The sequence below is a fragment of the Homo sapiens genome, chromosome 14 (genome assembly GCF_000001405.40).
Source record: "Homo sapiens chromosome 14, GRCh38.p14 Primary Assembly".
Taxonomy (NCBI): domain Eukaryota; kingdom Metazoa; phylum Chordata; class Mammalia; order Primates; family Hominidae; genus Homo; species Homo sapiens.
In genome coordinates, this window is record NC_000014.9 from 95451030 (window position 1) to 95477757 (window position 26728).

The window sequence follows — 26728 nt, forward strand, 5'->3', positions numbered from 1 at the left end:
GGCATTTGCCAATCTGGAAGAAATAGCTACAAAACTGAGTTAGGGTTTTGGCAGCCACTCAGGATAAGGGTCTATCAAAAATGGGCAGATTCTGAAAACAGCACCTCACATGAAGCTGGGATCGCAAAGGTCCATGCCCTCAGGATAAAAGTGCACTGCAAGCAAGCCAGTCCAACAGACGGATGGCCCAGCTTCATGACCAAGGAATACAAGCCTTGAAGATAAATTATGGAGACCCTAGACCAGTCCTGCCTGCCCCCAGGCACCTGGAAGAAGCAAACAAAACCCTTTCTTGAGTAAGATACCGTCATTCTAGGCCCATTTAATTTCTACGAATAATTTTTCAAACACAATGTCCAGCACCAAGTCATAGGAAACCAATACCTGAAATCTCAGTGAGAGAAACCAGAGGGAGAGGAAGACCCTTGGCCACTCTGTCTCCCTGCCTACTTTGTGCACAGGAAATCCAACCCCCCAACCCCAGCCCGACCCCTACCTTAGCATCCCACGGGGGATCCAGGCCACTGCCCCAGTTTTATAGATGTAGGCCTGAGCACGCTGTGGGATGAGAGCCACACAGCAAAGGTAGGAGCTCCCTTTGTTCATTCTGAAGGAGCTCCCTGTACCAGGCAGAGGTAGGAGATGCACGACAGCTGCGTGGACAGTTGTACCATGTTCAGAACACCTCGGAGGCTCATGCAGTGAAGACAGGTAACAGATTTCAAATCAACACTTTGCTCGGTTCCACACAGGGAGGATACAGGGCTGCTGCATTTGCTAAACTAGGAAGCTGGAGGTCCTGCTGTGCCTGAGCCCGGGGGCTGAGGGACACGTGGAGGCTGGTCTGGAGACGGCTCAGATGTTGAAGTCAGCATCCGAAGGCAGGGGAATGGAGTCTGTCTATTGAAAAGCCCTCCCTTTGGGCCATCACCCCTCCCCAATGCTAACCTGCATGAAGAGTCATGATAGGATGGGTGGCTGAGCCACTAGCCTGGATAAATGCAAAGTTCAGGCCTCTTTCTGGGAGCAAATGCAAAACAGTCAAAGGGGACAGTGTCTGAGCCAAGTGAGAACCTCTAAAAGCCAGTCATTGAGAGGTACAAAGAATGATTTAGAAGTTACTATGTTGTAGGAGAAAGCAAGCCCGCCTTCTGGAGATGGGGAAATGTGGGTTCCAGCACACCCTGAGTCCCACCACCCTTGGCCTTCCCAGATACCTCTGATACTCCTGGATGGTAGCGATGACACTATCAGAGAGTGGCTTCAGGTTGTGAGGGAAGACGATGAGCTCCTTCAGCTGGGCTTGCAGCCGGTCCACCCGGGGCTCCTCCGAGGCCAGCGCCGCCCGTGTTGCCTGCAGCACATGACGACACCGCAGCGGGAGGTGAGGCTCCTCAACAGGATAAGTGTGTGTGTGCAGGAGGGTGAGCGTGGCCAGTGGAGGTGGGCTAGGCTAGGAAGAAACTGTCACCAGGGGCAGGAACTGGGGCCCCACTCTTGAGCTCAGCCCCTACCCTCCCATCTCTAGCTCCATGACCTGGAACTCAGCCTTTACTGTCTGGTGCTGGGCTACAGTTCTGCTCTTTATTGCCCCCTACCTCCCAGCATTGCCATGGCAAACACTAGCTCCTAATGGTACAAATAACTAATACTCAGGGGACACCAATGCCAGGCTGAGCGCCCTGGGTGTCCCATTCGTTTAAGCCTCACAACAGTCCTGAAAGGCTAGTCTCCGTGTCCCAATGTTATTTACAAGGAAACTTGGGCTAAGAGCTCTCTGACGGTTGCAGAGTCTGTAGATGGTGGACCGGACATCAGAGCAGGGCCTCTTCATGCCTCTAAAGGTGCTTTGTGAACCCGGTTATTATTCTCGGCAGGCCTAGAAGCTATTTGCATGGACTATTCCTAAGCTGCTTCACTTCAACATGTGCAAACACTCCAGACACAGCCTTTCACTGCTGTCCTGGGAAGTTCCACGTTTGACCTTGATCTGCAGGACTCTCAGCCCCTTGCTTGGCCCTGCTCAGTAGGAGGCAGGGTGGGGTAGTAGAAAGTGCTGGGCTTTGCCACAACACAGAGCTGGCCTGGAGACCCACCTCTGTCTTTTCCTAGCTGTGCACTTTGGGCTGTTTCCTCTTTGATAAATGGGGCCACTCTCACCAACCACGTGGGTCGGGTGATATTGACAAGGCACTTGGTACAGAGCAGGGATGCATTAGTCCCTCCCCATCCCCAGCTCCCTCAATCCCAGGAGGCAGCCTTGTGCTTCTGTCCTTCTTGACCATACCGACCTCTGACCGATCCTCCATTCACAGGGAACCAGGGGCAGCTCCAATTAGGCTTAGCCTGGGGTGACCCACGGATGAACAGGGTTTAGAGTATTAAGCTCAAGGGAGAAAGCACAAATAGAGGGAAGGATTTTAGGCAGCAGCTGGGGCAATAGGGGCCACTATGTAGGCAGAAGGACACAGAATCTGCCCAGCCAGCCCTGTTCATTCTCAAAAATGTTCCTATTGCTATTCAATTAGTTAGCAAACATAATGACGTCTATGAAAGTTTTCACGGAAGACCAGACACAGTTGGTTTGTGGGAACTGGCAGGTTGAAAATCATTCATGAAGAAGCCCAGCACATCAGTGGTCAGGAAAGCTGGCCGGCCTGCAGGAATTCAGCAGGAAGGGCAAGGGTGCAGAGGGTGAGCAAGACTGGGGGCTGTCCCTGGAGAGAGGCCTGTCCAGGCCACTGGAAGGCCCATCATCAACTTGAAGCAGTGCTGGAACACCCAGGGCCCTCATTCCTGGGAAGGACGCTGCCCCATGGCTGGGTGGCCTGGCTAAGCATGACCTTTTTCTAGGCTCAGTTCCCTCCTTGTAAAATAAGACCACATCCCTTCCAGCTCTGACATGCCATGCTGGGACCTATAATGTTGTCAGGTTTAGTTTGCTGATTCCTTGGGAGGCTCAGGAGGGTGGACCCTGCCAGGTAGTTGCATTTCCTGACCAGACGCTGGATAAGCTACAAATCCACCCTGACTTCAACCTTTGCTGCAAACAGTCTCCCTGAAACAGATGAGGGTCCTGTTCCCGTCAGCAGAGGGATAACACAAGTCATACCCAGCCCTCTGCTCTCTCGGGAGCATCCCAGGGTTGCAGTCCCAGGGGGGATGGATCCACTGATGTCTGGATTCCTGGTCTGTTCCTCTTGCTATGTTAATTTTCTAGAACTGGGAGCCTGAGCTGGCCCAGTGGTTGGAAGCATATGACCTTGAGTCAGATTGCCTGGGTTCAAGTTAAAATCCCTGTCTCCACCTATTGGATGTATAACCACAGGCAAGTCTCCTAGCCTCTCAGTGCTTCATTTCACACATAACAGAGGTTAAAGTAATTTTCCGAAAGCCACTCAGTTAGCAAGGGGAGAAACTAGGACTTAAACCCAGCTAGTCTGGCCCCAAAGTCCCCATCCCTCACCACTGTGCCACACCACCTCCAAGGCGCATTGAGGCAGACAGTCCTAAAGCAGGGGACAGTTCCCTTTGGAGGAAGGTGATAACTGCAGGGTAACCTGTTCTGCTACAAGATCGAATGAGAAGACAGCCCTTTGTTTCTCCCTACTAAAAATATTTTTGCGTATGAGCAGAGATTAGAAGGAAGAGAAAACATATAACAACAGTGGCAGAGTGCAGGTAAGATCTGGGATGGCTTCCCTTGGAGGTATCTCCTCTCATGAAGTCGTGATCCTGAGTTAACAATAAATAAAGACAGAGGTGGGGAGGGCCGTTGCTTCTTATTTTAAAACTCTCTTTATCCACAAGTCAAGCTTCAGTTCGTATACCTCGGGGGAGGGCTGGGGAGCCTCTGATGGGATGTCATGTCGGGGTCTGGGAAGCACCCCCCACCACCGTGGGCCTCTGCTGCTTGGCCTCCTAAAGGCCCATGTTTGTTCCCCATGATCTCCACATTAAGAGTTTCCCCTTCTGATCCAATATTCCCTGTTCCACGCAGAGGAAGCCCACACCTTATCCCACCACTGGGCAGGAGAGTAGCTTTGAGGCCCAAACCTGGCTGCCCAATCCCCCTCTGCTGTTATTTATTCACAGACCTACCATGTGACTCTAGGGATGTTGGGGAAAAAAGTCTCTGTAGGCCCCAGCTTCCTCATCTAGAAAATGGGGATAAACACCCAACTTGTCTACTCCCCGCTCAGGGAGCTGAGATACCAAGAATCCCGGAGAAACAGAGTGAGTGTGCTCAGGGCTCAGCCCGATTCTCCATCACAGAGGAGGTCTGAGTGCCAGGACCCTGGGCACAGACAGCACCCTGGGCTCCATGACTCGGCCAAGCACGCTTACCGAGTAGCGTCTCCAGTGTGCCACCAGCTCGTCCTCGGTCCCCGCTTTCGCCGCAGGCTGCAGGCCCTCCTGGGCCAGCCTCTGCAGGACCATCCTGAACTCACTGAGCTCAGCCTCCAGCTGCTTAATCTGCTGCTCCCAGGCTCCCCTGGACCGGAGCAGGCCCCGCAGCCGCTCCTCCTCCTCCTCCCAGAGGGCGCGCAGCTTCTCCAGAACTTTCCTCATCTCTTCCAGTTCTCCGGTGATCTTCTCTGCACCCAAAGGAGAGGTGTTCCGAATGACACCCGCAGACTGCTCCTCCAGCGTCTCCAGAGACTCCTCGCCCCTGGGAAAATCTTTGGCAATGTCCTGAAGAGGGTAGAGGGGTGAGGGAAAAACAGGCAGGGAAAAAGAATACAGTTGCTGCATTTTCCAGAGCAGACCTGGGACTGCCCTGCAAAACACTGATTCCTGGAGTCCTGCGTTAGAGCCAGAGAGGGGCCTTCCCAAGGGCTGGACTGTCTGCCTTAAGTAGCATGGACTCACAACCTGAGAACCCTATTCCTTCCCCATAAGTCTTTTTCAAGCCATTTGATTAAGTCAAGGAGAAAGTCTCTGTTGGGTGCTTCTGTCTTGAACACTTTCTGACATTTGTTTATCTTCCTTTCCATGCCTTCAGCTGGAAACAGTGTGGAGCCAAATAGAACCAAATGGCTCCGTTCGGTTTCATTGTATTTATTTGTGTGGTTATCTACCTATTTGGAATTGGCACCATCTTTTCCATTTATGACAGTGATATGTTTTCTTTCTAAATAAATAATCATCAGTTTTTTTAAAAATGAGTCCATTTAAATACAAATATTAAAGAAATAGTTCAGATACTGCACAGTTGTGGCAAAATGTATCAAGTGGTTCTTGAATTATTAAAGACATTTTACCCACTCAGTTTATGGAGGGAGTCAGAGGCTCATTGAAAGCCATTCAGCAGGTGAAAAGTGGGGAGCCCACGTCTCCCGATGGCAGACCTGGCGCCTGCACCACGGTTCTTCTCCCTTGGCACCATTGCCACGTGGGCTGGATCGCTCTGTGCTGTGTGGGGCTGTCCTGTGCACTGTAGGATGGTTTTGCAGCATCCTTGGCCGCCACCCAGAGGCAGTAGCAACATCCACCCCCTCTACCCTCTTAGGACATTGCCAAAGATTTTCCTCAGGGCGAGGAGTCTCTAGACACTGCCAAATGCCCCCCATTGGAGACCCACCAGCCTAGACCATGCTTCTGTGGTCCTGGGTTTCCAAATGCTCTGCTGGCCAGGGATTTCCATAAAGCCTCTGAGGACCCAAGCGTTTAGACTAGATTCCACACTTCTCCTCACGGGGGTCTGTGGGCCATGGGTTCTTATATATTCTGTGGCACCAAGCACTGTCCTATTAAAGAAACTATGACATAGGTCAGGGTGTGGTGGCTCACACCTGTAATCGCAGCACTTTGGGAGCCCGAGGCTGGCAGATCACAAGGTCAGGAGATCGAGACCATCCTGGCTAACATGGTGAAACCCTGTCTCTACTAAAAATACAAAAAAATTAGCTGGGCATGGTGGCGGGTGCCTGTAGTCCCAGCTACTCAGGAGGCTGAGGCAGGAGAATGGTGTGAACCCAGGAGGTGGAGCTTGCAGTGAGCTGAGATCGCGCCACTGCACTCCAGCCTGAGCAACAGAGCAAGACTCCATCTCAAAAAAAAAAAAAAAAAAGGAACTATGACATAGAACCCACCCTCTGTGACTGTCCCTAGGGTCCCTCTGGTTGAGACACAGCTGGGGATTACCTGCAGTGTGGAGAGGCGCTGCGTGATGGGCAGCTTGCAGTTCCGCCCCAGGCAGCCATTCACCTTCTCCACCACCGCCTTCAGCCACAGTTGGAACTCGTCCACACCTGCCTGGTACTCCTCATGCTCCCGGGCCACCTGCTCCAGCAGATCTACACGCTTCTGTGGGAGGAGGAGAATCACCAGCCATGAGGGTCCCCAGCCCAGACAGCCCAAAGGCCAGAAAGCCCGTAGCCTGCCTGGGTGTGTGTGTGTGTGTGTGTGTGTGTTAGCAGGGGGTGCAACCAACCTCTAGCCCTTTCTCTAGACACAAAGAGCTCTCAGATACTCTGTTCTGCCTTACAAACAATATGCCAAGAGAGTTGGCTTTGGAGACCAGAGCATGTTGGCACTGGGCCCTGTCACTATGCAGCTGGCTTTCTTGTTTGCCACATCCTAGGAATGGCATTCAAGACTGAGGTGCGGCAACAGCAACAACATTAGCACGACTACTACTACATCACACTGTCATTCTGAGCACTCGCCAAGGTGCTGGGCACTGCTCTAAGAGCTTGACATATATGAGCTCAGTGAAGTCTCCTGACCACTCCATAAGGGGGTACCATTACAGTCCCAGTGTGACAGATGAGGACACCAAGATACAGAGAGGTAAAGTGACTTGCCCAAGGTCACCCAGCTAGGAAAGTGCCAAGATTCAATCCGAGCTGGGTTGAATGCTAGAAACCAGCATTTCTAGCTCCATTACACAACAGTGTCCACAGGGTATGCAAATCAATGGCAAGCTGCCCCATTTCCCCATGAATACGGTGATGTGTGTTGCATGGGTTGGAATCATCTCTATTTTCAGCCAGTCCCACCAAAGGTCTTAACAACACAGGGGTAAGATGATGTCCTGAGGGTGGCTGACATTTGGAAAAACAGTGGTGTCCTGCTATGAGCCCCCACTGTACTCCCAGAGACTAGGTTTTTCAAAACATGCCCTGATCACAGTGCTGTCTCCCCATATCCCGTCATGGCTCCCCACTGGCCCCAGGCCCAAGTCCAGTCCTTACAGCCTAGCACTTCAAGGACAGGTGTCCATGATGTAGCTCTGTGGTCCAGCAGTCAAGACCCTGGGGTTGGGATCCCACTGCCTGTGGCTTGAACCTTGGCCCCACCTTGGGTACCTAATTAAACCCTTCTGTGCCCAAGTCCCCTCATCCATATGGTATGGTTAATAACACCTGCCTCATTGGGAGAAAGTGAGATGAAATGGGCCAGAGCTCACCCCTAAAACAGAGCCTGGCAGCTGGTAAGTGCTTAACAACCTTGAGGCATTGCTGATTGTCTCCTGCCTTCTCCAAGCTCTTCTCACACCTCCAGCGGGTAACCAACTGCAGTACTAACCCCAGGCCCCCTTCTCACTCTGAGGCCATGCCCACTGCCCCAGGCTGAATTAACAGCCTTCCTTCTGAGTTCCCAAACCACTGGGATGCAACTTCATCACAGCAGTTGTCCATGGCATCGTCACCCACTGGGGGATCCAGGAGGTTCCTAGAAACAAGGCTGCCCCTGTTATTTCATCTCCCAGGGTCTAGCTCAGGGCACGCCCTGTGAACGCTTCCTGAATGGCAGGAAGCACAAATCTGGAGTGTTTGCCATCAGAGGAAAGTTTCCAAAGAGAGCCAAGAAAAGGGAAAAAGGAGACTCATTTAATAAGCACCTATGCTAGGTGTGCATGGAACTTCAAAGAGTTATCTTATTTAACACTCAAACAATCACAAAACCCTCCTATTCTGCAAATGTCCAGACTGGAGCTGGGACATTGCAGAACTCTTTTGGTCTTACAGAAAAGATTCCAATGGCAAGTGTCAGACTCCAAAATCATCGACTGTTTCTGTCAAGGGCCACCCAGGAAATGCTTTTAGCTTGGCCTGCCATATGGAGCTACTCCACCGCCAGCATGCAACTTATGTTGTAGCCCATGAGTAGCCACAGATAATGTGAAAAGAATGGCCGCATTCCAATAAAACTTTAATTATGAACACTGACAGGTTTTTCATATCATTTTCACACATCAAGAAATATTTGGCTTTTCATTTTTTCCCAACCATTTGAAAATGTGAAAGCCATTCTAGCTCATGCTTATAATCCCAGCATTTTGGGAGGCTGAGGCAAGAGGATTCCTTGAGCCCAGGAGTTCAAGACGAGCCTAGGCAACACGGTCAGACGTCATTTTTACAAAAAATCAATAAAAACATTAGCAGGGTGTGGTGGTGTGCACCTGTAGTCTCAGCTACTCGGGAGGCTGAGGCTGAAGCTAGGAATGGGCTGGATGTGGTGTCTGAACCATAGCTGGCTGACCTCAGCTCTTCACCATGGAGCCAGGCCCTGTCCAGGAGGGTTCTGACCATCTGCAAATCTAAGTCAGACATTCTCAGCTGGGAAGAGTGAACGGGTAAGTGCATCTGAAAAACCCCTTAGCTCTTTCACATATGCTTTTTTCTTCTTTGGGAAGCTCCTCACCGAATCTAGAAATATGAATTCATATAAACCTTGCAACCACCACTGCAAGTAGGAGAAAACATCCCGATTTTAGAAATGGGGAAGCCCAGGCTTAGGACCAAGCTCTTCAGTAGAGATCTGAGAAGTTCTCTCAAGGCTGGGCATGGTGGCTCGTGTCTATAATTCTAGCATTTTGGGAGGTGGAGGCAGGAGGATTGCTTGAGCCCAGGAGTTCGAGACCAGCCTGAGAAACACAGTGAGATGGCATCTCTACAAAAAATTTAAAGATTAGCTGGGTTTGTGAAGGGCGCTTGTAGTCCCAGCTACTTGGGAGGCTGAGGCAGGAGGATCGCTTGAGCCCAGGAGGTGGAGGCTGCAGTGAGCTGTGACTGCACCACTGCACTCCAGCCTACCTCACCTGACAGAACAAGACCCTGTCTCAAAACAGCAACAACAACAACAAAAATTGTTGAGCACTCCAACTGGGGTTGTGAAAAAGAGAAATAACATTGGAGGCACCATACATTCTTATTTAGAAACCTAGTTTTATTTTTTATTTTTTGAAACAGAGTCTCACTCTGTTGCCTAGACTGGAGTACAATGGCCTGATCTTGGCTCACTGTAACCTCTGCCTCCTGGGTTCAAGCGATTCTCGTGCCTCAGCCTCCCAAGTAGCTGGCATTACAGGGGTGCACCACGATGCCTAGTTTTTTTTTTTTTTTTTTTTTTTTGCTATTTTTAGAAGAGACGGGGTTTCACCATGTTGGCTAGGTTGGTCTCGAACTCCTGACCTCAAATGATCCACCTGCCTCAGCATCTCAAAGTGCTGGGATTACAGGCGTGAGCCACCATGCCCAGTCAAAAGCCTATTTTAAAGTTATAGTAACTGAAATGGCTTACAACTGGAATCAAGAAAGACAAAATTCTTACAAAACATGGGCCCTGCTTGAATCTGAAAGTGGAGCAAGCGAGGGGACAGTCCCCTTCATGCTTCCCGCCTGCAGCCCTAAGGATGGCTCCGGGGCTTCGGCAAGCTCCCCTGCTGGCTTCCCCTTCCTGCAGGGTTATTTAAATCCGTCAAAACTCTCCTGGAGCCTCCTCCATCAACAGGAAAGGCTCATTCATGAAACAAAGTGGGTCAGGAGTAACAGACAGAGGCTGGATGCTGGGCCCCTGGCCGCGCTGATGGTGATAGATGCAGCCGGGAGTGAACTCTCCCATGGAAGTGCCGGCCGTGGCTGCTAGTGTGTGAAGGATGAGGTGCTGGCACCCGGAGAAGTCCAGGGTAAATAAAAGTCTGTGTGATGGGGAGCAGGTGCTCAGAGAGGACCTCGGCAGGAGGGGCAGGGATCCAGCTGAGATCCGTGCCAGGCATAACAGTCACAGGGCAGAATCCAGCCGTGCTGGAGAATGACGGGGTGACAAACGGGAAGGTGCTCAACCTTCTCGTTAGACCCAGCAATTACACCATCTGCGGCGGGCAGAGCTGTCAGGAATGTCAAAACCTAACCAATTAACAAGGGTGGTGCGGATTTATGCCTCTGCAAAGGGCTGCACGAGCAGCTCTGATTCATCACAAGCAGCTCTGATTCACGGCCAAGATGCCAGACAGACGCGCCTTCTGTGAGGGCCGCCACGGGAAGCAGCGGGGGTGAGGATGCTTCCATGTGCCTGCCTTTGGGAAGACTAAATCGGGATTAAAAACAAACAAACAAGCCCCTCCCCGCAGCCAGCCTGCCCTGTCTACATTTCACTTGCAAACACTGCGGGCTGACAATGTGCCATTGCTCCCCTCTGGGCTTAGCCTTGGCCCTAGTCAAGAATCTCCCTCTAGCAGGTGGTCACAGAGGCTCCAGTTCAGGGAGGACCCCATGGTGCTTCTGTGGTTCCGTCCCCATCAACCCTAGAGGCTGTGCTAATTAACATGATGGACGTCAAAAATGGGTTTTCCTCGTTGGAGCAGTGGCCTGTTCTAGCATGGCAAGCAGTGGCAATGGGCTCTCATAGGTAAAAGTAGGGGCACTAACCTGAACCTAGAGACCAATCCCACCCCGAGGCCAGGCCTCGACCCCCAGGAAGGCACGAGGACAGAACCATCGCTGGAGTCAGACGACTGCCCCAAGAGAGACCTTTTATGCAGGGGAGGTCTTCATCAAGCTTTCAGAGCAGGGACTGGGAGGCTGGGACCACCAAGGATCTCTGCAGGCTGCTGGGTATGTGGAGTGCCCACCCACCTTGGGATGAGGCTAGAATCTTCCCCCTTTGTCTGGGGCTGGAGGGCTGGGGACACCCAGGAGGTCAATGCCGGGGGCTGCATCCCACCTTGCTGATGAGGAGCTTAGGATTGAGTGGTTGGATCTCTGGCCAAGGGCGATGGAGAAGTTTGCCCCGCTCAGGAGCCTCTCAGGCTTCGGAAGAACATGGCACCCTCTGGATCCACGAAAGCTCCATCCATAGAATCTGGTGGATGCTATAGCTCCTCGCCCCATAGAAATGCACACTCATACCTTCTGAATACAAGATCAAAGAGGCTGCAGGGGTCCGCGTGGCCCCTCCCCACCTACCCCTCAGTTCTCCCCATGGCCAGCTTCTAGAGAGACAGGAAACACCTCCAGGGTACACCACAGCCCTCCTGTCTAAGAGCTGACCGGGCTCCCTGTGAGTGAGAACAAAGTCCTCAAGCTTGCAGGAAGACTTCATGAGGGGCCATGGCCTTCAGCCAACAGCTGAGAAAGCCAAAACTGAATTCACTTCTCCATGCAGGGTCCAGCCACCCCACAAACAACAGCGCCCCATTTCCACATTGGCATCAGCATTGACCAGCCATCTGGCAACTCCAAGGGCTTCCACCATGGAGGGAGTCTCCCCCTCACCGCACCCCAAACCTCCCCCATCACCGCTGTCTCCGCACATGACACAGCCTTCCATGCTCCTGCCCCAGGACACTGCCAGGCGGGCCTTTGCCTCTTGAGAGCCCTGGATGCAAGGGCTCCCTCTTCAGCAGCTCAAACCTGCCTTTCACTGTCCCAGCCTGACCACAGAAGCACCCGGGGCCCCAGCTCATCCTGATGGTCACAGGTGCAGACACTAACGCAGGACCTGAGTCGCAGCTGCAGGGAGCGCCACCTTAGAAGTCATCAGCACCTCTGGCTTTTTCTACTGGGCCGCTGGTGTCTGACGCACAGAATGTTTTTTAATCTAAAAAATTAGTCCAAAAGGCCAGGTACAGTGGCTCACTTCTGTAATCCCAGCACTTCGGGAGGCCAAGGCGGATCACCTGAGGTCGGGAGTTTGAGACCAGCCTGACCAACATGGAGAGACCCCATCTCTACTAAAAAATACAAAATTAGCCGGGCATGGTGACACATGCCTGTAATGCCAGCTACTCGGGAGGCTGAGGCAGGAGAATCACTTGAACCCGGGAGGCAGAGGTTGCAGTGAGCTGAGATCATGCCATTGTACTCCAGCCTGGGCAACAAGAGTGAAACTCAGTCTCAAAATAAAAAAAAGAGTCCAATAACAACTTCTCCATCTACTTCATAAAAAGACTGGGGGAGCAGATGAGGTCAGAGACAGGAAAAGGTTAGAAAAAACAGCTCTCACTGATAAGAGCTGTGATGTCTATAGCGTTTTGGATTGTGTGAGGGGAGAACTCCCTGGAATGAAAATGAGGCTCTTGGAGGCAATCCTTTCAGCATCTGGGCCAGAATTGATGCTCACTCAGCACCCCAGCATCCACCCTCACGTACAAACATGCACACACACCCATGCACATACATGCAAACCTGCACACACACCAACAACTTTTTATCTCATCTCCTCCACACCCTGCACCAGGCGCTCTCTGCTGATTGGCACAAGCACCTGTTTCCTGTAAAGCCACAGCAAAGAGGCTGTGGAGCCAGGCACCTGTCCCAGCTGGGCCAGAGGGGCAGACCTGGAGAGAGAATTGCCATGAAGCCTGCCCATGCCACACGGGCCTTGGCAGGGCTGGATGAGGGCCAATTGGCTGCCTCTGCAAGAGCCAAGTCGAATCCCCGCCTTGCCCATCCATTCTGGGCCTTGCGCAGTCTCCTGGAGCCTCCTGTGGCTCCTCTCTGGGGCCCTGCGGGTTGCTTGCCTTCAAACTGCAGGGGTGGAGTTCTCATTATTTCAACAGATAGTTCTGAGCACCTGCTGCATGGCAAACAGCCATTGTTGTTCCTATTTATTCTCACTGCTACTGAGAGTAGAAGTCGTTCTTTATATTGGCAAAATGCTTGCCAGTTTTCAAAGAGCTCACATGTAACCATACAGCCCCCACAACCTGGGTGCAGGTCAGGTGAGCTGCCCTGAGGCCACACAGCTGGGAAGCAGCAGTGCCTGGCCTGGAATCCAAGTCCCTTCCCAAGCGCCAGAGCCTTGTTCCTGGTGGATTTTCTAGTTCTGCTTATCACAGAGCTTATTTCCCTTAAACTGTCAGCATGAAGAACCCAGGAGATGTTCAGTTTCAGCGCTATAGCCAACTAGAGAGCCAGAAATGCCAGATAAAATGTAACATAACAAACACCGTTTCAATGCAGACCCACGTCACACCAAGGGAAGGGATATTCCCATGGGCCAGAAGTAAAGATGCCCGGGAAACCACCCTGTTAAGCTCACACAGGTGCCTGAAGTCTTAGTTACTAGAAGCTTGGGTTTAATGCTCAGGCTGGAGTAAGAAGTGAGACTTTGGGCTCAGAGGCAACAGAGACCACTGCAAAAAGACAGAGCCTCAAGTGGCTGCCCGCCCCCACTAGCCAAAGGGTGAAGTAGAAAAAAAATATTGTTACAAACGCAATCTGAGAAGGAAATGTGCATGTTTTAGCCTGGGCCTAAAAACAAACAAACAAAAAAAACCAATCACCCTTCAGAATATGGAGTTGGGGCCTATTGTATGATTCTGGCTTGGGGTTCACGTTTAGAATATCCGCCTGATCTGGGAACCCCCAAGCCAATTCACTGACATGAAAATAGGAGTCGTGAAGATAAACCTCAGGAGGAGCCCAGCTGAAGCCAACAGAAAGCCACTCTCAGGTGGTGTCCCAGCTGCAGGCTTCTGCAGATGCATCCTGCTTAGGCTGAGCTTAGAGCTCAAAAGGACAACACCCCCCAAGGAAACAATCTACCATGTCAGGGGACACATAGGTGCCTGACGTGGAACTTCAGCCTTAGACCTGGAACCTCAGCCACTAGAAAAATCTGATGGGGACTGTAAAATACATATGTTTAGAATGATTGCAAATATAAGCTATATCTGGGAGGAATGCAAAATCTCAGGGGGAAAATGACATAATTTGTTAAAAAGAACAGGGAGACATAATACAGAACCAAATAAAATTTCTAACAAATGTAATTGAACTTGATAACTCAATGAACTGTTTCCAAATAAGGCAAGAATGGGGTGAGGAAATGCAGACAGAGAATGGACAGAGGGACTGGGGCAAGGGCAAGAGAGAGCAAGGAGGAAACACTGAAGGAGAAGGATTAAAGGGCAGGAGGAGGAAGGGAGGGGAGGAGGGAGAGAGGAAGAGAGAGAAAGGAGGAGAAGGGGGAAGCTGTTTGGATCAAAGTGAACATCACAGTCCATCAGTCAGTCGGTCAACACACCTATATGTATATTAAGCACTGCGAAACACTGGGTATCTGGACGGTAGATAATGGTGAGTGGGTGGTGGAAGAGTTGGTAGGTGAGGATTGGGGGATGGGTAGCTAGGTGGGTGGATGGCTGGATAAACGAGTGGGTGATGGTCAATAGTGGGTAGATAGGTGGTGAAGGGGTAGGCAGTGGAGAGATGGATGAGTGAATGGGTGAGTGAGGAAGAGGTGGCTGGGTTGATGGGTAGGTGAATGAGTAGATAGATGAATGCGTGGGCGATTAAGTGGTTGAAGAGATGAATAGCAGATTGATCAGGCTGGTGGGGAAGTAGATGGATGAGTGAGTCAACAGATGGGTGGGAGAATACATGGATGAACAAATGGTGGGGTAGATAGGTGAATGGGGTGGTGTGTGGGTGGATAGTGAAGGGGAGATTTGGTGATTTAGTGGGGAGGTAGATGGGTGAGTAGGTAGACAGATGGATGGGAGGGTGGTTGGATAGTGAACAGGTGAGTAGATGGATTGATAGTAGAAAGATAGATTGATAGTAGGTAAATAGCTTGATAGTAGGCAAACAGTGGCTGGAATGGGTAGATAAGGGTGGATACATGGATGGGTGGGTGAGGATGTAGCCCACTCAGCCTCACCCTCACCTGGGCCTTGGCCTTCACTGCATCGTACTCAGCCTTCATTCTCTTCTGGGCATCTTCGTCCACGCTGGGGTCCCCGATCCTGTTGAACAGGGAGGCTGCCTCCTCCAGCAGCCGGTCCAGGAGCACCGCCTGGTTGTCCACGTTGTGCAGCAGCACCTGGGCGTGGCTCAGCTGCCACTGCTTCTCCTTCAGGCCCAGCTGGAGCTCGATGTGGGGCTCCAGTGTGACCATCATCTTCTGGAACCAGCGGTAGAACTCATCTCGGGCCAGCAGGTACTCGCTCCAGTGCAGCCACACCCACTCGATGCGGCTGTGGGCACAGAGACCTCAAGGTTGTGAGGGAACCAGCCACCTGCCTCCTGGGTCGGGGGTCTGTGCTGTCACCCCCTCCCCAATACTAGGGGGCTGTGGTCTGGGGGCATGATGATGCCCTTTCTGGCCTCTGAGTCACCTGGGCAGCTTGTTGACACTCCAGATTCTAGACCCTCCCTCAGTCCTACTGGATAAGACCCTCTGCCCAGTAAATAAGCTCCCTGCGTGAGGGTAGGAGCCAGGGGAGCTCAGACTCCAAACTTCCTCCCAGAACCACCAGTTTTGGGGATGCATCTTGGGGAGCCGTTTACCTCCAGCACCTTAAATCCTGGCCCTGAACTCCCACTGTCAATGCACAGACACCCCCAGTCATTTCTCTTTGGCACTGGGGCTCTAAACACAGTTTCTCCAGGCCGCTGGCACACGCACACCCACTAATTTTAGGAGCAGACTGCGGTTGGGATGTGTCCAGTCACCTGCAGAGCACTTTGGATCTGTCTTTACTAACAGCAGGCATGGCCTAAAGCTCAAGCTCAGATCCCCAGCCTGTCTCCCTGGGGGCTGGTGGTCAGTGTCCTTAGACTGGCTTCCCAGCAGCCTGCTTGTCTCTGACCCTTCCCCATGGCTGGGGTGAAGGAGGAGCTCCTGCCATGTGGAATGCTGCCCCACTGACATCTGTGACATCTGCATCTGTGGGCTCGTTGCACCCAATGGGGACGGAAGGCTGGGAGCCTGCGTGTGCGTTCCAGGGGTGCTGTGAACTCACTCTGCAACCCTGCCTCTTCACATGCCTTAGTTTCTCCATCTCTAACATGGAGGTGGCTCTATCTCCCCAGCCAACATCAAGTCACTGTGTTAGGAATTTCCAGCGCAAGGATTTAGAAAGCAGGAAGCACTGTGCAAAGTCATTCCCATCTCCATGCACATCCTTGCTTTATAAAAATGGAGATGATCCTGGCAGCTCTTGTTTACTGAGGGCCTACTTTGTACCAAGCAGTGTGCCTCGCTCTTGATATTTGCTATCCCCTCCTAACTTCCTAACAACCTTCAAGGAGCACTTGATTACTCCCATTGTCCAGAGAGGTGCTTGAGGTTCAGCGAGGTCAGGTAACTTTCCCAAACCACATAGGAAGTAACCAGCAGGACAAGAGTCAATGCCAGGTCTGTCCGAGTGTTTGCTCCCCACCACCCCCTGTCCCGGCCAACCACCACCCAGCTTCCTGGTACAAGCAGGGACTCTGGCTACAGTGCTAGCAGGGCCCCAGGCCTTCTTTCTCCAGAGCCATTGTGCCATGCTCTGGAGGATGCACACACGGTAAGTCTCTTAGGAATTGTTGACAAAACACGCTGGGTTCCCAGTGTCTATTATCATCATTCAACCTGATTATAATTAGAAAGAGGCAGGCAGGGCTGGCCCTAATCCCAAGAGAATATCCTGTCCCCCAGAATCCCAGGACTGGAGAAATGTCTCTTGGGCAGAGGGCCCAAGCTAGTGTCACAGTGGGCAAGGAGGGTAAATGGCAGCTGTGGACAAAGGCCCTGGATGCCCTACCTGTGACAGTGAGTCATGTAGGTGACTGTCTCCTCCCATTGGGCCTTGATGTCCTTCAGCCGGGCCAGGATCCCGGGCTTCTGGTCCCCAGGGCAGCATGCCAAGAGGGCTTCAGCCATCCGTAGCACGAGGTCCACCCTCACACGCCCCTCGGGCTCCAGCTGGCATATTTTCTGTTGTGGACACACAAGCCAGTTTCCAGGGTTGGCAAAAGGCAGACAGGCACAACCTTGGGAAGATAGTGGCATGGTGCAAAGAGCCAGGACTCGAAGGCCAGAGGATCTGGGATTCACATCACAGCCCCTGCACCCCTTCTTGTGGGGTCTTGGGCAACCTGCTACTAGCTCTGAGGGTAGGAGGCGGGAGCAAAGGCGATTAGCATGCTGGGTGCTGTCTGATGAATGGCTCTCTCCTTCCCCACTCGGCCCATTTCTAGAGTGTGAACTCAGACAAGTTTCATTCTCTCCTTGGACTTGGTTTTCTCATTTGTAAAGTGCAAGTATTAATCGTATCTATCTCTCAGATTTTTTTCAGGATTAAACGATGAGAAAATGCATGTGAGGTACATGTTTCAGTGTGCAGCGTGAGCATCTACCTCTCAGGGGGACTGCGAGGAGCTGGCCCAACCCAGGGCCCAGCTGAGCCTCCAGAATCATCTCTGTCTTTCGCAGTTTGCACCAGAGCCTTGCTCCTGAGGCTGCTCCCACCAGAGACCAAGAGCAGCTGGGACACTGAAGCAGCTCCCTTCCTGGGAGATGCTGAGTGAGTGACTGTAACTCACAAACAGCTCATGTTCCTGCAAACTGCCTTAGAACCCACAGCTGTCTGAGATGGCCCCTCCTGACCCTGCTCCTTCCTCCCTGCTCTTCTGGCCTTGGGATCATATCTGCATCCCTCTGACCAGCCTCTCCTGGCTCCCTTCCTCCCCATATTCTCCCAGCGGGATCCCCCTAATAAATACCATGCACATTTCATCTCATCTTGGTGTCAGCTTCTTGGAGGACTAAGACCAATGCATGATGTCCAGCAAATAGTAAGTGTCCAAGTAATGCTAGCTATTGTCATTGCTGTTACTATTGCAGTTCAGGGGCAGCTAAGGCTTGGTCTCTGTAGGCAAATATGACTGGATTCCAATCCCAGGGCCACTCCTTACTGCTGCTGTGACCTTTGTCACAGGAGTTACATTCTCTAGGCCTAAGAATGAGGGAAGATAAGCATTAGGTAATGTAGGGAGAGCCATGAGCACGCTGCCCAGCCCACACCGCAACCCAGTCACTACCTGCTCACTATTATTATTATTATCCTTATCTTTGGATCTGTCTTTACTAACAGCAGGCATGGCCTAAAGCTCAAGCTCAGATCCCCAGCCCGTCTCCCTGAGGGCTGGTGGTCAGTGTCCTTAGACTGGCTTCCCAGCAGCCTGCTTGTCTCTGACCCTTCCCCATGGCTGGGGTGAAGGAGAGCTCCTGCCATGTGGAATGCTGCCCCACTGACAGCTGTGTGACCCCAGGCAGGTCACTAGGCTACTCTGGGTCTCCCTTTTTCATCCTGAGACAACGATAACAGTCTCTGCTTGTCCACCTCCCAGGGTTATAATATTAATTTTAAAAACACTTTTATCCAGGTACAGTGCTGCATGCCTATAATCCTAGCACTCTGGGAGGCTGAGGCAGGAGAATTGCTCGAGCTTAGGAGTTTGAGACCAGCCTGGACAACACAGTGAGACCATGTCTCTACAAAAAAAAAAAAAAAAAAAAAAATTAAAAATTAGCCGGATGTAGTGGCATATGCCTGTAGTCCCAGCTACTTGGGAGGCTGATGTGGGAGGATCGCTTGAGCTTGGGAGGTCGAGGCTGCAGTGAGCCGTGATCAAACCACTACGCTCCAGCCTGGGTGCCACAGCGAGACCATGTCTCAAAAAATAATATTAAAAATAATAAAAATAAAATAAAAACACTATGAATTAAACATGGGTATAAGTTAGTGTACTTTGTAAACTGTTGAACAATTATGTAGACCCTTCCCCAATGTGTGCAAATGGGCAATGGTCCCCATCCTTTTTTTACTCCATACAATAATCGTTGATGATGACGATGATGATGACGATGATGATAATAGTATAGAAGGACTTCCCCTCCTACCTTTGTTATCAAAGAGTGAGGCAAACAAGCTCCTTCCAAAGGCTGTCTCTGTGTGCATGTGAGTGGGAGGTGCTCAGGGAGAGTGAAGAATGGGGAGATTCCTCAAGAGAGGGAAAGAGGGTTTGTTTGGCCAAGTAGCAGGATGTGGCAGGGGCCCAGGGGGTGGTGGCCACAGCAAGTACCCACACAGGGACCCCGAGTCCCTCTCAGCAGCGAGCAGTGATGGGGAAAACAAAAGTACCATAGTGGCCAGTGTGGCCTGAAGACCCAAGGGCCAGTGTGGAATGTTCTAGACTGAATACGATTATCCACCCAGGATGTTTCACACCACCCAGGGGCAGGGTTCCACAGCATGGCTGAGGATGAATTTGTTGCCATTCAGAGAGAGATTTAATTTGATTAAAAATAATAGTAGACCAGGCGTGGTGACTCATGCCTGTAATCCCAGCAGTTTGGGAGACCAAGGCAGGAGGATCGCTGAGGCCAGGAGTATGCAACCACTCTGGGCAAGACAGTGAGGCCCCATCTCTCCAAAAGCATTTTTTTTAATTAAAAAAAAAAAAAAACTAGCCAGGCACAGTGGCATATGCCTGTAGTCCTAGTTACTCAAGAGGCTGAGGCAGGAAGATTGCTTGAGCCCAGGAGGTTGAGGCTGCAGTGAGCCATGATCACACTACTGCACTCAAGCCTGGGCAGCAGGGCAAGAACCTGTCACTAAAAAACTAAAAATAAGAAAAAAAAGAGCCGGATGTGGTGGCTCACGCCTGTAATCCCAACACTTTGGGAGGCCGAGGCGGACAGATCACGAGGTCAGGAGTTTGAGGCCATCCTGGCCAACATGGTGAAACACCGTCTCTACTGAAAATACAAAAATTAGCCGGGCATGGTGGCGCACACCTGTGATCCTAGCTACTCAGGAGGCTGAGGCAGGAGACTTGCTTGAACCTGGGAGGCAGATGTTGCAGTGAGCCGAGATCACAACACTGCACTCCAGCCATCACACCACTGCACTCCAGCCTGGGCAACAGAGCAACACGCCGTCTCAGGAAAAAAAAAAAAAGAAAGTAAGATGATATTTCTGATTCCCAGAAATGTGAAAGGAGACTTCATATTCCCCAAGCTAGCAACACAATAAGTCCAAATTTACAAACAAGGGAGCTGGGGACCCACAGAAACCACCAGCCTTGAGGAATGATTCTCTACAGCTGCCAGAGAAGCCTCCTCCACACCTGCTCCCAGCTTCAGCTCAGATGGAGTCCAGCTCTGAAAATCACAGGAGCCAACAACTCTGGGGAAGAAGTGAAATTCCATCTCCCTTGGCCACACCCAGAAGGAGCAGCCAGGTCTGGAATGTCCCATGCGGACAATGGCCCCTTCTCCAAAGCCTGGTGTCCTGACTGTGTGGTCCCCCCAGACCCCTGGACCTTCGTCCTTCTTATCCTCATGAAAGAGGCACAGGCTGGACAGAAGGGGACACAAAGACCCGAGACCCACTGCCTTTTCAAGGGAGTGAGTTTGATGCTTCTTTACCAAGGCAGAGGAGCTGGCTGGTCCAAAGGCAGGCAAGACACCAAGCCCCCTTCCCCGACCTGGAGAAGAAACGTCTGCCCTGAAAGATCAACCTGTAGGAAGTTTATTGGAGGCTTGAAGCCAGGGGAGGCCAGAGGCTGTGGCTAGGCTGGAAAAGCCGAATTTTGAGAAGTAGATTCCACTCTTTTTCACTGCGCTGATGATTACACTCTTTGGCTGGTGTGAGATTCTTTTATAGCCCATCACCAGCAAGGACACAGTCCAGGAGTGCTTGGCAAGGTCTGCGTGGCCAGCTGGGAGAAAGTACTTGAACTGCAGCCACAGAATTATTCCAATTTGTCGCAGCCAATGAGGGCAAGGGGAAGGTGGGGATCGGATGTAAGGAAACACCTTGGAGAGAAGTATCAGGAGACCAGGAAAGTGGAGGAATGGGGTTAATCAGGGTTTTCCCTCAACCCAGCCAAGACCAGGTGACCCCCAGCTGAGCATTATGCTGAGTGCTAGGGTCCTGGATGAACAAGCTGGTAGGAAAGAGGGCTGCAGATAAGAGCGCAGACGACTGCAAAAAGGGCCAGGAGAGACCGCAAAGTAGTATGAGAGCTCAGGGAGGGATGGGAGAAATCCAGGAAGGCTTTGTGGAGGAGGTGGCATTGGCATGAAGCCTGCAGGTCTCTAATTAAAGACAACTGGAGAAGGATATTTGAGCAAAGGTAGGGAAGTAAGATATATTGAAGGATGAATGCATTGGGAATCCAAGCCTTGAGAAACACCAGGGTGCTCCTGACCAAGACGGTGGCCCAGAAGCTGGTGAGGAAGCTGCCTGGCTCAGGCCAGGACCCAGATACAGGACAAGGGAGCCTGAGATCGTGCCACTGCACTCCAGCCTGGGCAACAGAGCAAGACTCCCTCTCAATAAACAAATAAATACATATGCTGGAACCTGGGAGTGTGGCTGGAAGCTCCTAAGACCCACTGCTGGAGGCTCTGGGGATGGGCAGGGACACTTGGTATGCTGTGTATCCCAGCTTCTAAAACCACAAGAAACGATCGCCTCCATTTCGCCAGCTCTGCCAGCATACCCTGCACTGTGCATACAAGCATGTCTATAAATGATCCTCCTTAATCCTCCCTCCTTCCTGAAAGGCAGCAGCTATCACTCTCCCCGGAAGCAAGCTGAAGCTCAGAGAGCTCTGGGAAATCCTCCTGAGGTGCCACAGCCATGGCAGACTTTGGAGCCCGGGCCTGCAGACCCAGTAGCCAAGCTCTCAACCCAGGAGCGATGGGTTCTCCAATCACACCTTACAGAAAGCCCCCACCCCACGAGGATTCTGGAGTTTCCCTTAACCCCTCGGGAACACAAGGGGTGAGGGGGTTCATTCCTGCTCTACAGATGGGAACATGAGGTCCCGGGAAGGCATGGGACATCCTCCCGGCTGCATGGCTATTAAGAGTCAGAACTGGATCAGAGCCCACGTCCCTGTCACTGCAGCAAACAGGCACTGGAGACAAGCCAACAGAGTTGGTGGAGGAAGCACAAGAGAGACCCCAGCACCCGGGGGCAGGTCCCATGGGTAGGTCGAGAGGCACTAGCTGCCCCCTCTTACCAGCTGGCAACAGGAAAACGTTTTCTTTCTTATTGTGAAATTGGTTTTGAAGTGGCAAAACACACAGTAAATGAAGCATGCCGGAGCCCCGTGGGAGGAGACACTGGCAGAACGCTCAGGCCATGACTCCCCTCTGCCTGGACTCCCACCCCCTCGGGGCTCACAGAAGTGCTGCCTCTGGCTTCCAGGGCCCATCCACCCTGGTCCTGCCAATGTGTCTTCCTAAGGACCACCCTTGACTTTGCTTAAACCAGAACCACCACCTGGAGGGAAAGACCCACCAGCAAAGGGTAGAAAGTTTAAAATGCTAAGCACCCTAACACAGTGGGCACACAGGCAGGGCTGTGATGCTCACAGACAGGTAAGGTCAGGAGCTGGGGCTGAGAAAGGCGGAAACTGGTCAGGAGAGATGCACGGACAGGAGGGTTTCATTTCTTGTGCACACCCAGACCCACACAAAAAAGCATTCCAAGCAGAGGCAACACATGGACAAAGGCTTGGCGGTGGAAGGTCTACGAGGTCTTCTGCCAATCAAAGGAGGGCGTGAGCTTGCAAGGTGTGACAGTGGCTGGAGCTAAGGCCGGTGTAAGCTTGGGAGGTGTGACAGTGGCTGGAGCTAAGGCTGGTGTGAGCTTGCGAGGTGTGACAGTGGCTGGAGCTAAGGCTGTTGTGAGCTTGCGAGGTGTGACAGTGGCTGGAGCTCAGGCCAGTGTGAGCTTGGGAGGTATGACAGTGGCTGGAACTAAGGCTGGTGTGAGCTTGCGAGGTGTGACAGTGGCTGGAGCTAAGGCTGGTGTGAGCTTGTGAGGTGTGACAGTGGCTGGAACTAAGGCTGGTGTGAGTTTGTGAGGTGTGACAGTGGCTGGAGCTAAGGCCAGTGTGAGCTTGCGAGGTGTGACAGTGGCTGGAGCTAAGGCCAGTGTGAGCTTGGGAGGTATGACAGTGGCTGGAACTAAGGCTGGTGTGAGCTTGCGAGGTGTGACAGTGGCTGGAGCTAAGGCTGGTGTGAGCTTGTGAGGTGTGACAGTGGCTGGAACTAAGGCTGGTATGAGCTTGCGAGGTATGACAGTGGCTGGAGCTAAGGCTGGTGTGATCTTGGGAGGTGTGACAGCATGGAGAGCTAAGGCTGGAAAAGAGAGTGGTGCAGATAGTGGGGGACTTTTGAAGCCAGGTGAAGTTTGCTTTTCCTTTGGTGGACAGTGAGAGCCACGGAAGGTTTTAGAGGAAGAGAATAACATCATGGGACCCACGTTAGGGGTGTGCCTCATACATGCTTGTGCAGTTGCCCTGATTGTTTGCATACGTGTCTCCATGAGGCTGGGAACCCTCAAGAGCAGGGTGGGCCTCACCCACCTGCACAGCCCCAGCCCTGGCATAGGGATGGCAGAAAGCAGGGGGTATTCCACTCTTGGGTGATCTGTGAGGGAGCTTCCCAGACAGAAGGTGAAGGGAGCACAGCAGAGAGCTTGAACGTGACAGGGCTCTGCAGGCACAGGAAACGGTGTGAGGAGACTCCATTTCCCCAGTTGCAAATGCAGACAATGGCTCCTGCCTCTGGATGAGGCGGTGACACTGAAATCAAACACTGACTTGGAAAGGTGATGAGGATTGTTAATTCCCACGGTCCACTTCCAGAAAGGGCATGAGATATATGCAATATGGTGCACAGTGCACAGAATCGAGAAGACAGCACACACAAAGGAAACACACAAGGAACCAGCTGTGGGGTCACCACTGCTTCCAGCCTGGCTGGGTGACTGGTTTGCTGCGGGAGAAGGCAGCACCCCACCCCACACTAAGAGCAACCATTGTTGGGTGATAAATTAGAATTATGGGATATCTAAATGGATGTGACCCCAGAGGTGTGGAAGTCAACTGCTCCATTTGCAGATGGGAAAACTGAAGCCCAGAGTGGGGCAGGGATTTGACCAAGGTCACACAGCAATCTAGCATCAGCAAGGAGATTATAACTCCGGCCTCCGACTCTTAGCTCAGTATTCTTCCCTCTTGTCCCCAGGCCACGGGCGACCCACCCTCAGACAGGGGCACCACGATGCCAGGCCAGGCACTGGGCACCAGCACTTAGTGCTACATGGTCTTGTGCCAGGTGGGGTGGGTAAAGCCAGACTATGGTTCTGGAGAAGCTCAGGAAGTCACTCCTTGCTGGGCAGAGCCCCTTCCCCGCTCCTCTGGAGGAAGACCTTGGCCAACCCAGATCTGGCAGGGACCCCAACCAGGCAGAAGCAGAGAAGGGGTGGGAAGCCCCCCAGCAAGGGCTGGGGACCCACCAGGCTGCACGGGTCCCCCCTGCAGGGACAGGAGGATGAGAGGACAGGCTCTAGTTCCTTGTCATCAGAGTGTGTTCCAAGGACCAGCAAAAATGGTATCACCTGGAACTTGTCAAAAGCAAAGTCTCGGACTTCACCTCCATGACCCGATCAGAGTCTACACTTAAACAAAATCTCCAGGAGATCTGTGTGCACATCAGAGTTTGAGAAACATTGGTTTAGTCCACCGTTGCCTTTCACAGATAGGAAACCTGAGGTCTGAGGGCGGGGTGGGATGGGGCCAAGACCACAGGGCCATCTGAGGCCACGCCTCTGCATACCTCGGTCTCCCACAGCCTGGCCTCCAGGGCCGCGCGGGGTCCCTGCGTGTTGTCATTGACCTGCAGCTGGTCCTGCACAGCCTTCATCCATGCCTGGGCATCCTCCACGCTCCTGTCAAAGTCGTCCTGGGGCTGCTGAGTCATGGCACCTGCAGGGGCTGAAGAAAGGGCCACAGATAAGGCCAACAGGCAGGAATGTAGGGGGCTGCAAAAAGACCCCCGGCAGGACACCTGGGACAGGCCCACTCCCACCACCAACCCTCCCCTGGTGCTCCCAGTTGGGCAATATGGCCAGAGGTGAGCACGTTTGTCAGGAATGGAATTAGGCAGGGAATGAAAACAGGTCTGGCCTCTGGGAAAACTGGCCTAGGGCTCTGGCCTGGCAAAACTGCTTTGTCTTTGGCCTCTCAGGTTCCCTGCTTCCTCTTCTCGAAGCTTGAGGCCCGGAGGCAATTCTCGTCTGTCTATTCAGATTGCACGCTCTCCAAAAGAGGACGTCAAAACCTGCAGTCCGAAACGTCTGGACCCATAATGATCTTGATTTGAATGGATCAAAGAGGCCTCAACCTAAGGAACACTGTTCTGGGCATGGGCCAAGCTGACACCAGCCCTGAGCTCTCCCTGAGATGAACTTCTCAGGCTGGGGATGGTCGTGTTAGGTTCATGCCATCCCCACCACTCCACCAACCTGGGTCCATGGGCAGGTCCTGCTAAAGTTACCCACTGAGCCACTCCCCTCTGACCTCTGCGCAGCACTCCTCGCAACCACTGAAAACGAACATAATGCTCGAGATGCAACCCGCTTGCTATGCCGGCCCTAGGTAACACCTGCCTGCTGGCATAGGTCACCCACCAGAGACCCCTTTTGCTGGACTGTCCATTTGACTTCCCCTGGGCTATGGCTGCAAAGCCTCAGATTTTCTCCTGTGACTTTCTTAAAATCCCAGTTAGTCCAGGCAAAACTCTTCTGTATTCCAGTTCTAGTTGTCTGCATATAGCAACCATGTGACTGCTTTGAACTAAAGTTATTTGTATTTGCATTTTATTCAAAGGGATTGTGTCTGGTTTATCCTCCAGTCTCCCACAATACCTTGTACAGAGTAAGGCCAATGTTGTTAAATGAGCCCAGAATGGGTATAAAGTTTAACACATCAAAAAACTCAACATGGCATTATTTAAAATGGCAAAACAAAACCAGAAACAACCCACATGCCTAATTATAGGGGATTGCTTAAGTAAGTTATGGTACACTTGCACTTTAGAATATTATGCAGCCAGCAAAAAGGAGGCTTAAAATGAATTTGTGAATGGTAATTTTTAGGATATAATGGCAATACCAAAAAAGAGACAAAATTATATATTAGGTAGTCACAACTCAACAACTAGTAAAAGCAAAACAAAACATTAACAAAAACTACACTCATAGAAAAAGGCTGGGGCCGGGCATGGTGGCTCATGCCTATAATTCCAGAACTTTGGGAGGCTTAGGCAGGAGGATCGCTTGAGCCCAGGAGTTCAAGAAAAAGGCCAGGATGTCTTGCCATTAAAGGGTCTATGTGATCAAGTCAGGGCTGTGTGCAGTGGCCTTAGCCCCTTCCAGGCCTGGCTTTTAAGCACATTCCATGGGAACCTCAGGCCTCTCTCTCCCTGGCATTGGGGGAGAGGCACAGTAACCTTGAAGGCCACTTGGTTGAGATGGGTAGGACCACCATTGGAAGTTTGTTTTTTTTTCCCTTATTTTTCTCTATTAAGCACTTAGAATTTACTTTACAATTTTTATTACATTACAGTAAAAATCATCACTATTAAAAATAAAAATTGTCTTCACTCATCAGTTAGTAAGTATCTACTGGGAAGCTGGGCACCATCCCCAGGCCCTGCACGGGGCCAGAAGAAGCTTCGGGGAGAACCCACAAGAGAGAAGGAGAAAATGGAAGAGGCCATCAGACGCGTGCTGGGCCAAAGGATGTGGGCTGGCCAGGGGGAGGTGGGCGACGTAGCGGGCTGTGCTCTGGAAACCCGTCCTGTGATTCTCCCAGTGAGTTGCTTTCCTTTCAGACCTGTTTTGACTTTTTTTGTA

At 51.9% G+C, this 26728-nt stretch overlaps 1 protein-coding gene across 6 annotated transcripts in view, besides 4 other annotated features; it reads right to left on the bottom strand.

Moving 5' to 3' along the window:
* The window catches only part of SYNE3 (spectrin repeat containing nuclear envelope family member 3), a 109385-nt gene that overhangs the window by 43764 nt on the left and 38893 nt on the right, over positions 1-26728 (bottom strand). For all 6 annotated transcript variants that reach the window (NM_001363692.2, NM_152592.6, NM_001384281.1 and 3 more), the window contains 6 exons: positions 24649-24806; positions 16766-16938; positions 14902-15211; positions 6148-6309; positions 4348-4695; positions 1218-1354 (listed from right to left, as the gene is read on the bottom strand). In NM_001363692.2, coding sequence (NP_001350621.1) covers positions 1218-1354; positions 4348-4695; positions 6148-6309; positions 14902-15211; positions 16766-16938; positions 24649-24792 — 1274 coding nt within the window. In that variant the 5' untranslated portion in view covers positions 24793-24806. The remainder of the gene's footprint in view (positions 1-1217; positions 1355-4347; positions 4696-6147; positions 6310-14901; positions 15212-16765; positions 16939-24648; positions 24807-26728) is intronic.
* Positions 290-1082: an enhancer, noted in NCBI's record as "H3K4me1 hESC enhancer chr14:95917656-95918448 (GRCh37/hg19 assembly coordinates)". NCBI's record gives its function as "activates a minimal SCP1, AML or CMV promoter by ChIP-STARR-seq in naive H9 embryonic stem cells {active_cell/tissue: H9 hESC(naive)}" and the evidence as "EXISTENCE:reporter gene assay evidence [ECO:0000049][PMID:30033119]".
* Positions 1473-1522: an enhancer, noted in NCBI's record as "active region_8959". NCBI's record gives its function as "activates an Ori minimal core promoter by ATAC-STARR-seq in GM12878 lymphoblastoid cells {active_cell/tissue: GM12878}" and the evidence as "EXISTENCE:reporter gene assay evidence [ECO:0000049][PMID:35858748]".
* Positions 23686-24572: an enhancer, noted in NCBI's record as "H3K4me1 hESC enhancer chr14:95941052-95941938 (GRCh37/hg19 assembly coordinates)". NCBI's record gives its function as "activates a minimal SCP1, AML or CMV promoter by ChIP-STARR-seq in primed H9 embryonic stem cells {active_cell/tissue: H9 hESC(primed)}" and the evidence as "EXISTENCE:reporter gene assay evidence [ECO:0000049][PMID:30033119]".
* Positions 24573-25458: an enhancer, noted in NCBI's record as "H3K4me1 hESC enhancer chr14:95941939-95942824 (GRCh37/hg19 assembly coordinates)". NCBI's record gives its function as "activates a minimal SCP1, AML or CMV promoter by ChIP-STARR-seq in naive H9 embryonic stem cells {active_cell/tissue: H9 hESC(naive)}" and the evidence as "EXISTENCE:reporter gene assay evidence [ECO:0000049][PMID:30033119]".